The 15,881-nt window shown below is 43.1% G+C and overlaps 1 protein-coding gene and 1 pseudogene across 4 annotated transcripts in view; one reads left to right on the top strand and one right to left on the bottom strand.

Moving 5' to 3' along the window:
- The window catches only part of DAW1 (dynein assembly factor with WD repeats 1), a 52,714-nt gene extending 44,885 nt beyond the window's left edge, over positions 1–7,829 (bottom strand). For 2 of the 4 annotated variants that reach the window (NR_138459.2, NM_178821.3), the window contains exon 1: positions 7,731–7,829. Coding sequence is in view for 1 of the 4 variants with exons in the window: in NM_178821.3 (NP_849143.1) it covers positions 7,731–7,770 (40 nt within the window). In the remaining 3 variants the exon portion in view is untranslated. Of the gene's footprint in view, positions 1–2,965; positions 3,018–7,060; positions 7,312–7,730 lie in introns of all 4 variants that reach the window. The other 2 variants (XM_047443536.1, NM_001330004.2) reach the window with 2 other exon arrangements.
- Positions 8,875–10,284, top strand: CRIPTOP2 (CRIPTO pseudogene 2; annotated as a pseudogene).

The raw sequence follows: 15,881 nt of genomic DNA, 5'->3' as shown, positions 1-15,881 counted from the left end.
ACAAAATTTTAAGAACTTAATATAAAGAACTACAAAAATGATTTTTAAAAAGAAAATTGGACAAAAGTCAGGAGCGGTCAACTTACAAAGACAGACAATGATCAATAAACAAACCAAAACAAAAAGTCCCTAACTTCATTATTAAGAAAAAATAAAAAACAAAATAGATGTAAGTTTTACCCATCAAATTAGCAAAGATTACAAAGACTGATAATATTCCACATCAGCAGCTTGAAGACACAGGCACTGTCACGTGTTAGGTGGCTCCTTTCAAGGCATGACCGCATCTTCAGGGGGATGAGGCTCATCTTAGCTATTCCTTGATGTATTTTTCATTATTCGACTATACATAAATATTTTATAAAAGTAAGAGAAGCCAGGCATGGTGGCTCATGCCTGTAATTCCAGTACTTTGGGAGGCCGAGGCGGGCAGGTCACTTGAGGCCAGGAGTTCAAGACCAGCCTGGCAACATGGTGAAACCCTGTCTCTACTAAAAATAGAAAAAATTAGCCAAGTGTGGTGGCATGCCTGTAATCCCAGCTACTTGGGAAGCTGAGGCACGAGAATCATTTGAACCCAGGAGGCAGACATTGCAATGAGTTGAGATTGTGCCATTGCACTCCACCCTGGGCAAAAAAAAAAAAAAAAATTAAATTTAAATTTAAAAAGTAAGAGAAAAACAAGAAAATAGAAAAAAATGATAGGGATCGACATATTTTCTTCTTCATTTTGTTAGAGACAGAGTCTTGCTCTGTTACCCAGGCTGCAGTGCAGTTGTACAATCATCACTCACTGTAGTCTCGAACTCCTAGGAACCCATGCCATTCTTCTGCCTCATTTTCTTGAGTAGCTAGGACTATAGGCCCATGCCGCTATGCCCAGCTAATTTTTTAATTTTTTGTAGAAACAAGATTTCACTATGTTTCTCAGGCTGGTCTTCAACTCCTGGGCTCAAGCCATCCTCCTGCCTCAGCCTCTCAAAGTGCTGGGATTAAAGGCAGGCACCACCATGCCCAGTTGATCAACATTATCAGAATATAAACCCTTGAAGATCAAGATCCCTAAAAAGCTATTTGAAAATTCAAGAAAGATACATACTTTAAACATACAAGTTCTGTATCAATGCAAGGTGTCACTATCATCAAGGGAGTGTTTCTTTCTGTACTATAATTTTAGATTTTTTGCATTATATATGAGGGTATTTACTATGTGCTATTTATTATTGAGGAAATAAATGCTTGAGTAAATAAATGATGTACACAATGAATAAGCAATAAAATAATAATCTGTAACTCAGAGAAAGGTTGGAAAGAATTAGCACTTGGCAGTCCACAGAGTATGATCTAATACCCTAAGGAAATGCATTTTTAACATTTTAGCAAATAAGTTAACAAAAGTCTGCTTTCTTTATTCACTACTTGTTTGTAATAAAGTAAAAAGGTTCGAAGTCTTCAAGCTGACTACTAAAAATTGGTGGGGATGCTGTACAAATGGATCTGGAGAATACACTACAAAATTGAAACATGTACGTTTGACTGCTTCGCTGTGACAAAACCTCTAGGCCAGGGGTCCCCCGACCCCACTGGGCCCTGGACCAGTACCAGTCTGTGGCCGTTAGGGCCCAGGCCACACAGCAGGAGGTGAGTGGCGGGCAAGTGAGCATTACTGCCTGAGCTCATTCAGCCTCCTGTCAGATCAGCAGCAGCAGCATTAGATTTCCATAGCAGCAGGAACCCTATGGTGAACTGTGCATACAAGGGATCTAGGCTGCACACTCTTTACGCAAATCTAACTAATGCCTGATGATCACAGGTGGAACAGTTTCATCCCAAAACCATCCCCCTGGTCTGTGGAAAAATTGTCTTCCATGAAACCAGTCCCTGGTGCCAAAAAGGTTGTGTAACATTGATCTAGGCAATATGTTCATCCCTCTCATGATTACTGAGCTCCAATATGAGCAAAAGGCTGTGATATGTGCCATGAAGAATAAAAGCAGAAAACAAAGAGTCCGGGAGCAGTGGCTCACGCCTATAATCCCAGCACTTTTGGAGGCCAAGGCAAGTGCCTCACTTGAGTTCAGAAGTTTGAGACCAGCCTGGCCAACATGGTAAAACCACATATCTACTAAAAATACTAAAATTAGTTGGGTGTGATGGCACATGCCTGTAATCTCAGCTACTCGGGAGACAGAGGCAGAGGTTGCAGTAAGCCAAGATTGTGCCACTGTACTCCAGCCTGGCTGACAGAGCAAAACTATGTCTCAAAAATAAAAATAAATAAACAAAGATGCTGCCAGAAATACATGCTTTTCTTCAGTGACTGTTTCCCACAGTATCTTAATAATCTTGATTTTCCCTTGATTGTGCATTATTCAATAAATATAATTCCCAAAACACTTAGGTAAGAAGCCTCTATTCCTCAAATTTTTCAGTATATTAAAAGGGCATGCTTCAAATGATATTAGTATTCTTTACTTAGATTATATATTCAATCAACAGAAACCTTTAAAATGCTCAGAATGTTAACTAGTTTAGTTAATGTTGACTTAATTCCTTCTCCTGGTCTGAGAACTATGGACTTCACACAATAAATGAAATACAAAAATTGTCATAACTGAGTTAGCTGAAAAGCACATAGTCAACACCCACTCTCCCCAAAGCAAAGAGCTTATGAATTAATAAATGTGACCAAGATGAAAAGGAATGTCCCATGTTTGGTTAGCCATGTCACTGGCATGTACATTTAGCCTTTGGGAATGTAGGTAGGGAGAGGGATAATTCAGTAGATAGCAGCAAGACAATGCCCCTGACCTATACGTTATTCAAAAGAAAGTGGGAGGGCGAAAATTAGAGGATTAGGAGGCAAAACAAAACTGCTCTATATGCAGAAGGGATAAAGGTAGCACGGGAATGATTCAGTGGAATAATTTTTCCTATCTGATAATGCTATTATTGAAACACCCACCTGCTATTCAGTAGTATCTTGGAAACTTGCATATGATTTGGCTCACCAAAGACTGGAATTCAGAAATTAAATGTCAAGCATGCTAAGTAATATGACCTCATTATAAGATAAGCATTAAGGCAATAGTCGCAAACATGAGTCAAGAGAATTACGTGAGCCTAAGAATCCTAGGCTTGGCCGGGCACAGTGGCTCACGCCTGTCATCCCAGCACTTTGGGAGGCCAAGGCGGGTGGATCACGAGGTCAGGAGATCAAGACCATCCTGGCTAACACGGTGAAACCCCGTCTCTACTAAAAATACAAAAAAATTAATTAGCCTGGCGTACTGGCGGGCGCCTGTAGTCCCAGCTACTCAGGAGGCTGAGGCAGGAGAATGGCATGAACCCAGGAGGCGGAGCTTGCAGTGAGCCAAGATCATGCCACTGCACTACAGCCTGGGTGACAGAGCTAGACTCCATCTCAAAAAAAAAAAAAGAGAGAATCCTAGGCATTTAGAGCTGAAGTAGATCAAAGATCACTTATCTGGCCCTTTCACACTTCAGGAAGAGTTTGAGGCATTCTGCTTAACACACATCATCTCATTAAACTCACTTATTCAACAAAAACATTAATGTCATTTTATGCACCAGGCTCTCCTCTGGGTGCTAGAGATAAGGAGCAAACAAAATAGACAAAGTTCCTGCCTTCGTCAATCTTTTATTCTCGTGGGAAAGAATAAGCAAAATAAATGAGTGAAACAATGATGAGTTGGATTAAGATAGCCCCAAGGAGAAAAGACAAACCAGGGAAAGGGGCTGTGAAATATCATGGGAAGAAGATAGAAATGCTCAGAAAGGAGATATCTAAGTCTTCACTTTACACAATTTTGAGGAAAGACTTTAAAAATATGGGGCACTAGTGATACAAATGTCCATGGGTAGATTATTCGAGGCAGAAAGAACACCAACTGCAGACCCTGGGTGGGGACACCTCTGCCCCATTCAAGGAACACCAAGGAGAGGAGTGTTGCTGGAGGGAAAAGTCGAAAGTGGTGAGGTCAGGGAAGCAACAGGGGGTGAGATTTTGCAGGGCCTTGGGGATCATGGTCCTTTTACTTTAAACGAGCTGAGAAGTCATTGGAGGGCTGGAGCAGAAGAGTGACATGGTCATATTTATGTTCTAACAGAGCCATCCCATTGCCATATAGACTGAAGAGGGGCAAGGGTGGAAGGAAGCTTTCAAGCTAAAAAGAATGGTAGTGGTCAGGTAGTAGAAATTGTTGGATTCTGCATATATTTTGGAGGCAGGACTAGCAGGATTTGTTAGTGGATGTGGAGATGAGAGAGAGACAAGGAAGAGTCCAAAATGTTTGGCATGAGTAAGTGGAGAAATGGAGCTGCAATTTGCTGAGATGGGGAAGACCATGGGAGACCCCCACATGAGATGTACGGTGGACATTCAAATGAATGTGTCGGGTGGGCACTCAGGTACTCAGGACTATGCGGGATGGTTTGTTTTTTGTTTTTCTGTTTGTTTGTTTGTTTGTTTGTTTTGAGACAGAGTCTTGCTCTGGCACCCAGGCTGGAGTGCATTGGTGTGATCTTGGCTCACTGCAACCTCCACCTCCCAGATTCAAGCGATTCTCCTGCCTCAGCCTCCTGAGTAGCTGGGATTACAGACCCGCACCACCACACCTGGCTAATTGTTTTGTATTTTTAGTAGAGACGGGGTTTCACCATGTTGGGCAGGCTGGTCTCGAACTCCTGACCTCAGTTCAGGATAGTTTTTAAGCCTTGAGAATGGATGAGATTGCATAGTGTATGAGTGTAGATAGAAAGGAGAAATCCAAGGTTGGGGCTCTGGGGCACTCCAACATTAAATAATCAAAAAGAAGAAGAGGAACCAACAAGATAGACACAGAAGAAGTGACGTGAGACAGGAAGGAAAATAGAATATGTGTCCTGGAAGCCAAAGAAAAGCAGAGTGGTTGAATGCTGCTGTCAGGTCAAGGCAGGCAAGGACTGTGGCTTGGCCAGTAGATTAGCAATGTGAATGTCATTGGAGATCTTAAAGTGGGCAGTTTCAGTGGGGCAATCCGCGTGAAAACATGATAGGAAGGGAGGACAGCACTTGGGGAGAGTATTCTTCCAAAAATTTTCTCTACTCTGAAGAGAAAGAATCAAATAAGATAAGAAGCTGGAAGGGTCTAGTAGACCTGTGAAGTGGTGCTGTTGTCACCATGTACCCATGCTTTGATAGAATAAAACAAATTGCCCAAGTTTTTTTATTATTGTATATGGTGAGAAGCCGTTATTCTGAACCCAGAGCTCATATTCTTAACCTACACTCCACAACAAAGAGATGAAAGCAAGAGCTTCATTTATTGGTACATCTATGGGAACCAGCACAGGCCTATGGGCAAAAAGAGCCAAAAGAAAATTATGGAATACTTAAAGGAAACAGACTATTAGTCTTAATTTTAAATTTTCTATATACTATCTACCTATGCCTAATTTAAATTTCGTAGATACTCTCAGCCTGATGCAGTGGCTCACATCTGTAATCCCAGCACTTTGGGAGTCCAAGACAGGTGGATCACTTGAGGTGAGGAATTCAAGACCAGCCTGGCCAACATGGTGAAACCCCGTCTCTGCTAAAAATACAAAAATTAGCTGGGCTTGGTAGTGCACACCTGTGATTCCAGCTACCTGGGAGGCTAAGGGATGAGAATCATTTGAATCCAAGAGGTGGAGTTGGATTGCACCACTGCACTCCAACCTGGGTGACAGAGCAAGACTCTGTCTCAAAAATTAAATTAATTAATTAATTACATAAAATAAATTTATCTAGATACTGTCATATATATAGCTTTCTCATATTATTTTAACTGGAATTCTATGAAGGAGAAAATGCATGTCTTTTCTACAAATGTCAACTTCCCATTGGAGAAAGTAGCTGTCCAGGATCGGTCTTCCAGGGAGGCAGAAGCAGCATCCCTTAAGATTTTCAGTGTTTATTTTCAGTAATTTCCATACCTGACCTCTCATCAAACACATCCATTTATCCATACATTCATTCAACAAACATTCCTGATCTTCTGTGTCACCAAATCTCTTCTAGAAGCTGAGGGTGCTACAATGATCAAACCACACTAAGATCTTAGTTCTCACGAAGTTTACATTAAATGGGAAAGGGGCAGACATTTGAAACAAAACAAGTAGAGTTTTGGATGATGACAAATATAATTTTTAAGCACTTTATGGCATAGAGTAAAATCAGTGCAGGCTACTTTGAATAGGTAGGAAAGTCTCTTCAGGTGGTTGACATTGATTGAAACTGAATGAAGAAAAGGAAGCAGCTTTTCCTAGCTCTAGGGAAAGCTGGGTCCAAAAAACGAATGAGTGAAAGGCCCTCTCTTAAGTCTTAGAAGAACAAGCTAAAGAAGTCAGAAGTATAGTGAGGGTAGACAAGTGAAGTTTTAGAAGTCAGCAGCACAGAATGAGCCAAATCCCACAGGTTGCGGATCGTATTCTAAGCATGATAGGAAGCTATTGGAGATCTTGAATTCAGATCCCACTGGCTCCTAGTGGCAGATGGATTGTAGGAGATGAGGGTGAAAACCAGGAATCCAGTTGAAAAGCCACTGGAGTGGCTCAGCCAAAGGGAATGGTGGCTGGAATGGAGGGTTGGACTAGGTTGGCAGCTGGAAGGGATGTTAGACCAAGAAATCTGTGCTATGGAAAGAGGGATAATCTGATGGATTCACAGAATATTTTGGACTTAGAGCTGGCAGAATGATAACGGAATGCCGGGGGTTGGGGGGGTGGGGGAGGCAGTGAATGATCACAGGAGAGAAACAAAAAGTGACCACCTAGGTTTCTGGCAAAAAACAGGCTGGGTGATGATGCCTTCTACTGGCAGGGCACAGTTTGAGGAAGCAGCAGGATTGGGATGGGACTGGAAAAAAGAAATCATGAGATCTCTATGCGATACCTCATCGGCGATGTTGACCAAGCAGTTGGATGTGTTGCAGGGAAAAGTGAGATATTCAACCTGAAATTCAAGTCCCACCCCTCATAAAGCTATTCTTAACAAAACCGGTCCAAAGTATCTTACCCTCCTTTGAAATCTTTATGACACTTCCTATCCAAACTTCATTGGGCAAGTGTATTTGGTTATCTTCTGCCTTGTGGTATGTTTTGCAGATTTTTTTCTTTTTTTTCTTTTTTTTTTTTTTTTTGCAGATGTTTCTAATTCAGAAGACGAGTTCTGAATTAGAACCCAAGAATTGCACTCCTATTTCTGTCCCTAAGAAGCTGGGTGATCAATGGGTGTCACTTATTCTTTAAAGGTGACCATGTCCTCACCTAAAATTAGAGTTAGGCAAGGATTAGGTAATTAATGTATTGCTTATGTTACTAAGTAATAGTTAAGTAATTTATTTCATAATTACTTCACTCATTGAAATCAAGCACTATGAACTTCTTTAAAGGTCCATAGCAGAGAGCACAAAGCGTGTACGCAGTAGGCACTCAATAAATGCAGACAGACTGACATGCACAGTCAAGCTAAACTCTTTAAATTCCTAAAAGAGTAATTGTTAATGTTTTGAGGAAGAGTCCAGCATCTGAAGGAATGAGGGGCACAGGTTGGGAAGTGCCCGACTTCCTGCCCCACCTGGGGACCCCGCCGCCTTTCAGTGGCTGCGCCCTCCTCCGCCCCAAACCCTCCCAGTCTGGGAGCCCAGGGTCCCACGTGGGGATGACGGGGCCGGGCTGGTGCGTACCTGGCGGGTAATACCGGAGCAGGAGGCTCTTGAGCTTCATTTTCTTGCTCTCTTATCCCCGGCCGATGGGCTTCGTAGCCTTGGAAACGGCTAAACAGCAGCGGGACGCGGGTGCGCATGCGCAGGTTGCACCGCGCGGTCCTGGGGCGCAGAGCTGGGAGGTCTGGCTCCGCGGGCGGTTGGTGGCGACCCGGGGCTCCGGCGCGCGGGGGGCGAGTGTTCTGGAGGTGTCTAGAGTGAAAGAGGTGAGGGCACCTCGTGTCCTCACTAAGGGCGACCTCAGAGGAGCTAGGCATGGCCGGGAACCGACGGCCTAGGCCACAGCCTGGGCTGCATGCACTTTTTTAGCACACTGCGTTTCCCAAAAGGAAGGCTGGGAGGAAAAGCCCATCGCTAATTACTACTCTAGGGCCCCAGCCCGTGCCCTGTCCTTGTCCTCCCAAAAGAAAAATGACCTCAACTTAATATTTTGCATTTCCTGACTCTGTGCCCTACATTGCTTTAAACGGTGTATGCACACATACTCATACAATCCTAACAAGGTGTGAGTTATGCACCACTTCTTAAGGATGAAGTAACTCAGAATTAGAGAAAGTGGAGAACTACCAGAGGTCGCAGCCTAAATGGATAGGCGGGAATGGAAGGCAGGTGCGTCGGAACCTACACCAGAAAGCCTACACCTGTGCTCTCAACCTGGGCTTAAAACTCTCCAGGCCTTCATGCGGCTTGTCCAATTTCTTGCCAGCATCGTTGTTTGCCTGCCACGTTTCCATGAGAAAGCCTGCGGAGAGACAGAGTCAGCCAACCAGCTTGTCAATTTCCTTTAAGGAATTTGGCCTCAACTGGAATTTCTCAAACTTGAGTCATTCCTGTGTTATCTGCGCAACTATGAGCCATATCTCTCCTTACCTCTTCCAGAGATCCATACCTAAGTTTTAAGTTCTTAAAATGTCTCTAGATTGACTCACTTATTTTACTTCACTTAGTAAAATGTAATCTTAAAAATTACCTTTACTTTTACAGTTACTGGCTGTTTACTGAAAATTATATGAAATTTAATTCCATCTGTGAAGTTTTTATTTCTAAATTTAAAATTATATGAAATTTTCAGTAAACAGCCAGTAACTGTAAAAGTAAAGGCAATTTTTTAAAGGCGTTGAATTGCTTGTTAAAGGCTGAGCCATCGGGAACTTGTGCGTCCATCTCAGGGAGACCTGGCCTTCAGAGATGACAGCATTCAGCCCCAGGAGGAGCCTGCAATTCGTCCTCGGTCTTCCCAGCTTGTGCCCCCCATGGGGATACAGGACAGTAAGGAGCCAAACAGAACCTGCTGCCTGAATGGGGGAACCTGCATGCTGGGGTCCTTTTGTGCCTGCCTCCCCTCCTTCTATGGATGGAACTGTGAGCACGGTGTACGCAAAGAGAATTGTGGGTCTGTGCCCCATGACACCCGGCTGCCCAAGAAGTGTTCCATGTGTAAATGCTGGCACGGGCAGCTCCGCTGCTTTCCTCAGGCATTTCTACCTGGCTGTGATGGCCTTGTGATGGATGAGCACCTCATGGCTCCCAGGACTCCAGAACTACCACCGTCTGCATGCACCACTTTTATATGCTAGCTGGCATCTGCCTTTCTATACAAAGTTACTATTAATTGACATTGACCTATTTCCAGAAATATGATTTTAGATATCATTCAAATTTCATGACCAGTAAAGGCTGCTGCTATAATGTCCTAACTGAAAGATGATCATTTGTTAGTTGCCTTAAAATAATGAATACATTTCCAAAATGGTCTCTAACATTTCCTTGTAGTACCAAATACTTCTTACCTCTTTGCCCTGCCCTCCCCACAAAAACTACTTCTTTTTTCAAAAGAAAGTCAGCCATATCTCCATTGTGCCTAAGTCATGTTTCTTGATACATGTAATTCTACCAAGGTCTTCTTAAAAGTTCTTTTAAACAATTGAATATTATCTTCAGATTATTAAAGACCAATCCTAATGTGGACCTTAGGATACAGTTTTGAGTAGAGTTGATAAAAATCAATTAAAATAGTCTCTTTAAATGGAAAGAAAGCCTCTTTAAGGGGAGGAAACAGAGGGCTGAAGGAATGGAAGTTCATCTGCATGTATGCAGGGAGACTGGGTAGGAAAGAGGAAGCAAATGGGAGAGAGAGGTTGGAAAACATAAAATGGGTTACTTGATGGTGATTAGGTGGGTGTAGAGAAGAAAGTTAAAAGGCTAAATGGAAGGGTAAGTTTCCGTCATCTATAGAAAGCTATATGAGACAAGGACTCCAATTTTTTTCCCAAAGGTGTTGTAAAAAGAATGAAGTCTCCTTATAAAAAAAAAATTATACCTCAATGTCCCCAACAAGACTGCTTAATAAATTATGTTTCCTCCAAGCTATGCAATTCTTTTAACTGTTGTAGAAGAGAAAATGTTCACAATATATTTAGTTGTAAACCAAATGATAAAACTACATATTGTAAAGCCAACTTTTAAAATACATTGTATATATGCGTATGCACAGTAAAAATGGAAAATATATTGACCTAAAGGCATTGAATTACTATATACTACTATATATTACTATATTACTATATACTAATTACTATATACTGCCAAAGACTCTGAACCCAAAACCATCCCTTTCTTTGTAAACAAAGGAAGGAAGAAAGGAAAGAAAGAGGGAGGGAGGGAGGGAGGAAGGGAAGGAAGGAAATTAGCAACTGTTTGAGATTGTTAAGACAGGCTACAAGACGGAATAGCACTCAACTGAGCCTTCCTACTTGATGTGTTCAGAAGATTGAAAAGATTGTTGAGATGGCAAAGCCTTTGCTACTAAGTGACACAATTTAACCCAATATAAATGTGCAAAAAAAAAATCATCTTTTTCTCACCAGTAGTAAGCATCCCATACTTGGAAAACAGGGAACCGTATGAAATCCAAGCTCTCTCCCAGCTCAAACTTTCTCCTAGCCACTAAGACACTCTGGAAGGACTTATGGAGGGAGGGGCAAAGAGTTTGCTCTATAGAAATGAGAAAGTCTTTGGTAGATTTTGGTCACCTATGTTATTGCTTGTGCTCATGCCATTTAAAATGTGATCTTTGGGTGGGGCACCCATTTAAAACGTGATCTTTGGGTGGGGCACGGTGGCTCTTACCTATAATCCCAACACTTTGGGAGGCCAAGTTAGGAGGATTGCTTGAACCCAGGAGTTCAAGACCAGCCTAGGCAACAAGGCAAGATCCGGTCTCTACAAAAAAATTAATTAGCTGGGTGTGGTACATGCCCCTATTGTCCCAGCTACTCAGGAGGCTGAGGTGAAAGGATCACTTGAGTCAGGGAGGACATCACCAATAGTGGGACAAACTGACATATATTACCTGGTATTACGATGCACTGAAGAGAACACAGCAAAGCCGGGTGCAGTGGCTCATGCCTGTAATCCCAGCACTTTGGGAGGCCAAGGTGGGCAGATCATAAGGTCAGGAGATCGAGACCATCCTGGCCAACATGGTGAAACCGCATCTCTACTAAAAATACAAAAATTAGCTGGGCGTGGTGGAACGTGCCTGTAATCTCAGCTACTCTGGAGGCTGAGGCAGGAGAATTGCTTGTACCAGGGAGTCGGAGGTTGCAGTGGGCCGAGATCGTGCCACTGCACTGCAGCCTGGCAACAGAGCAAGACTCTGTTAAAAAAAAAAACAAAAAACAATAAACAAAAAAAAACAGCAATTCTCTGGAATTCCTGCCCAAAATGAATTACTTGACTCAAATCATAAGGAAACATCGGAGCAAACCAAACTGAGGAAATTGTATAAAATAACTGTTGACAGTCAAGGAAAGAAAACTCTAAAGAAATACTTGAGATTAAATAAATCTAAAAAGGACAACTAAATGCACTGAGTGATGATAGATCCTGAACCAGAATAATAATTACTTACAAAGGGCATCGTTGAGACAATGGATGAACTCTGTATATAGGGATTGTGGTTTAGATAATAGTATTTTATCAGTGTTAAGTTTCTTGACTTTGATCATTGTACTGGTTATGTAAGAGAATGTCCTTGTTCTTAGGAAAAGTATACTGATTTATTTCAAAATAAAAGGGCATGCTGGCACCCTGATCTCAGACTTCCAGCCTCCAGAACTGTGAGGAAGAAGTTTCTATTGTTTGTGAGCCACCCAGTCAACGGTACTTGTTATGGAAGCCTGAACTAAGACATTCCCACCAGGACCTGCCTTGAACAACCAGAAACTAAATAATGAGTAGCAGTAATTTTAATCTCCTAAACCAATCCAGGCTAATACAGTGAAGTCACTCTAGGCTTCAGTTCTCCAAGCATGGTTCCCGGACCAGCAGGGTCAGTATCACTTAGGAATTCATCAGCAATGTACATTTTCGCCTCCCCCGAGTCCCGACCTACTGAATCAGAAACACTGATGGTGAAGTCCAACAACCCATGTTTAAATGTGCTTTCCTGGTGATTCTAGTGAATGATGAAGCTTGAGAGCCACTGTGCTAGCTTAATAGGTTACACTGGCTTGGACAGAACGAAGTGAGTGAAATTGGGCTTCATCTCCAATGATCAGGTCTTTCTGTGTATTCCAGGCAGTCTTCCCTGATTGTCAGGAACAGTAAATTGATTGTTCAACCACATCCTCGAATGTAAATGAGAACCAGAAACAACACGGGAAGAAGCTGGAATTTTCTACATAATTGGGTTTCAGATGCTCCAATGCACTGAGAGAGGACAGTGGACATCAGGCTGAGGGAAGAATCAGAAGGTACCTGGGAGGATGGGAGTTGGGGAGGGAGGTAGTCTCTAAAATCAAAATATGTATGGTGGCTCTGGTGGCTCACGCCTGTAATCACAGTGCTTTGGGAGGCCAAGGCAGGAAGACTGCCTGAGCTCAGGAGTTTGAGACCAGCCTGGGCAACAGGGAAAAACCCCATCTCTACAAAATGTACAAAAATTAGCCCAGTGTGGTGGCACTCACCTGTAGTCCAAGCCACTCAGGAGGCTGAGGTGGGAGGATGGCTTGAGCCTAGGAGGCGGTGGTTCAGTGAGCTGAGATCACACCACTGCACTCCAGCCTGGGTGACAGAGCCAGAACCTGTCTCAAAATATATATATATATATATGGATGTAGTATATCTATACATATATATATTTATATTTATAGAGAGAGAGAGAGAAAGAGGAGGAGGAGGAGAAGGAAGAAGGAGTCAGTCCGGGGGATCCAGATTCTGTATTTTTGAGGCTGGGCAAGGTAAGGGAGGAGTAGGGCTTCCGGCTGCGGCTGGGCTTGGTGGATTCCATTTGGCTCAGCTTCTCCTGGAGAAAACCAACTTCAGTGAGATGACTGCATCACTGGTGTTGGAGCCTCACTGAGAGCAGCAGATAAAAAGAGAGATGCAATCCTCTCCTAGAAAGAGAAGGCACAGATGCTCAGAGCCAGGCAGGAGCAGTCTGCTGTGCACAGGGTTTAAAGGTGACCTCATCACAGCAGGCCCCAGAGCGGAGGAACGGCATCAGGGTGGGGGCATGTGGACCAGACATCGCCATTTACCCTCTTCCTCTGCCTGCCTCCATCCCCACAGCAGGACTCAAAAGCATCTGATCTTACCTGGGACTTGAAAACTAACAGGGCCAGGGCCACTAATTGTATCATTCAATAAATGTGTATAAAGGACCTGCTAGTACCAGGCATGCTGCTGTTATAGATCTAATTCTGAAAAATATTGCAAGGGAGTTATTCACAGAAAGAATCAGACTTCGGGTGAGTTTGAAATGATTGTAGGTTGCCAGGTGAGGTGGCTCACGCCTGTGATCCCATCACTTTGGGAGGCCGAGGCGGTGGACCACCTGAGGTCAGGAGTTTGAGACCAGCCTGACCAACGTGGTGGAACCCTGTCTCTACCAAAAGTATAAAATTAGCCGGGCATGATGGCACCTGCCTGTAATCCCAGCTACTTGGGAGGCTGAGGCAGGAGAATCGCTTGAACCAAGGAGGCGGAGGTTGCAGTAAGCTGAGATCATGCCATTGTACTCCAGCATGGGTGACAAGAGCGAAACTCCATCTAAAAAAACAAAACAAAAAAGAAGAAAGGAAGAAATGATTGTAGGTTAGTGGGAGAGAGACCTCTAGGTGTGACCAAATTTACATTCACTGATGGGTCAATGCCAGTACATGGCAGGCTGATAAACAGCTGGCACAGCTGATAAACAGCTTTGCCACTGAGTCATTAGAGCAGAATGCCTGACTTGAAGCCTACCGTTTTCTAGACATGCGATCTTGGGCAAGGTCCATCACCTCTCTGGGCTTTAGTTTCCTCCTCAAAAAGCTAGAAATGATCATCGTATCCAATTCATAGAGTTGTCACTATGAGCCTGATTCACTTGAAACATTCTGTAAGAATTAGGGACGGTGATGATAATAATAAGCATTATTATGCTAAATTTGTTTGAAACTGAGGAAAGGGCATGTACATATCATTTCCATTTCAATTGATGATCTAGGTCAACAATTGCTCCAACTGCAATTTGGAATCTTTTGTGTGATCCTTGACAAGTATACCTTGCTAATTATATCAATTAGTGTTAGTACAGTTGGCTTAAACATTAAAATTAGTTTATATTTTTAAAATCATAACTACTTTCTCTGTGGACCCAAATAGATTTACTTTCTTAAATAAATGGCCTAGAGGATCTGGAAGGGAAGAATGGATTCTATACCTTCCCAAGCTAGAGACAGTCCAGAGAAGAACGATACAGGTGCAGAAAGACCAGGGATATCTGGAACATGAACCAGAGACCCTGGGGTGGGCATAATGCCACCCTTTGTGACTGGCACACCATAGGTCCTTGATTAGTGAGTGATTTTCATTATGATTTGGAAGAGGAAGTCATTGATTATGTGCAGAACTAGAGGGCAGGGCTAAGAGAGTTGGATTCATGGAGGCAGATGTTGGCTCCCTATAAAGAACTCCATTGCCAGTTTGTCCAGTAATGGATGAATAGACTAAGCTGTGTCCAAAAGTATGAGAATTTCCCAGCACTGGAAATGTTCTAGCTGAGGCAGTTTGACCGGTTGCCAAGATGATTGTAAAACATAATACTAAGTCGGCTGAGAGACAGGACTAGATAAAATTTTCCTTTCGTTTCTATGGTTCCATGATCTTGTGCTCGCTGTGTGTCTGTGTGTTTTCACAAAAAGATAAATGTGGAAAGGTATGAAACAGTGGGTTGCTCGTTGGAAGACAGAAGTTCCAATCCTGCCCTTTCATTGATGACCTTTAAGCAAATCGTTTGCCCTTCTAATCCTCAGTTACTCAACTGCAAATGATTTTCGCTCATTCCATTCAGCACTCAGGCACCACGACTCACTTATTCCTGCTCTAGCTTTGATTCTTGTCATTCTGCCACCCAGTAAGCCTCCCACGTCAGCTGTTCTAAAGCCTCACCCAGTGAAGAACACCTTGTCCACATGCTCAATTTGATTTTCTGCAACAGTATGTGCTGGATGTGGAGTTCACATCACACACTCCAAAATGTCCCTACCGTACAATGCCTGCCTCCAATCCCTATGCCAACAACTGCATCTGGCCACTCTCAAGTAAACTCGCGGGACCCTAGTGATGGTTCATTCATTCATGTTGAAAACTCCATTCTATTCGGTGTTACTTGTCTGATTTTTCTTCCTCTTACAGGGTTTACTCTAAACTCCTGAAGGATCTGATACAATAGCCCTTTGCGGATTAATGGAGAAAAGGTCTGAAATTATTAGCCTTGGTTGTCATTGGTTCTATGCTCCCACTTGCATTATAATGCCCTCCTCAGCTTGTCAGGGTGCCTCCTACCACCTTCACTGCAGCAACTTGCTGAAATGTCACTGCACCCTGTTTCAGCCCCCAGAGGACAGTCTGCTGTGTGCCACTTCTGGAGTCTCTCCTCTTGGCCCTGGGTCCCTTAAAGAACCTGTAGTTCTTGGTGACTTCCATGCCCCACTCTGGGGTCCAGTGAACTTCTAAATACCTAAACTTGCCAGTTTGACAGATAAATTAGTCATCTCTCTCCAGCCTGCATCAGGCTGCCATTTCCACTCAATGCCCACTCCTTTCTGCAATGCATGAAAGCTG

The sequence above is a fragment of the Homo sapiens genome, chromosome 2 (assembly GCF_000001405.40).
Source record: "Homo sapiens chromosome 2, GRCh38.p14 Primary Assembly".
NCBI lineage: Eukaryota > Metazoa > Chordata > Mammalia > Primates > Hominidae > Homo > Homo sapiens.
This window is presented reverse-complemented; position numbering and strand designations above follow the sequence as displayed.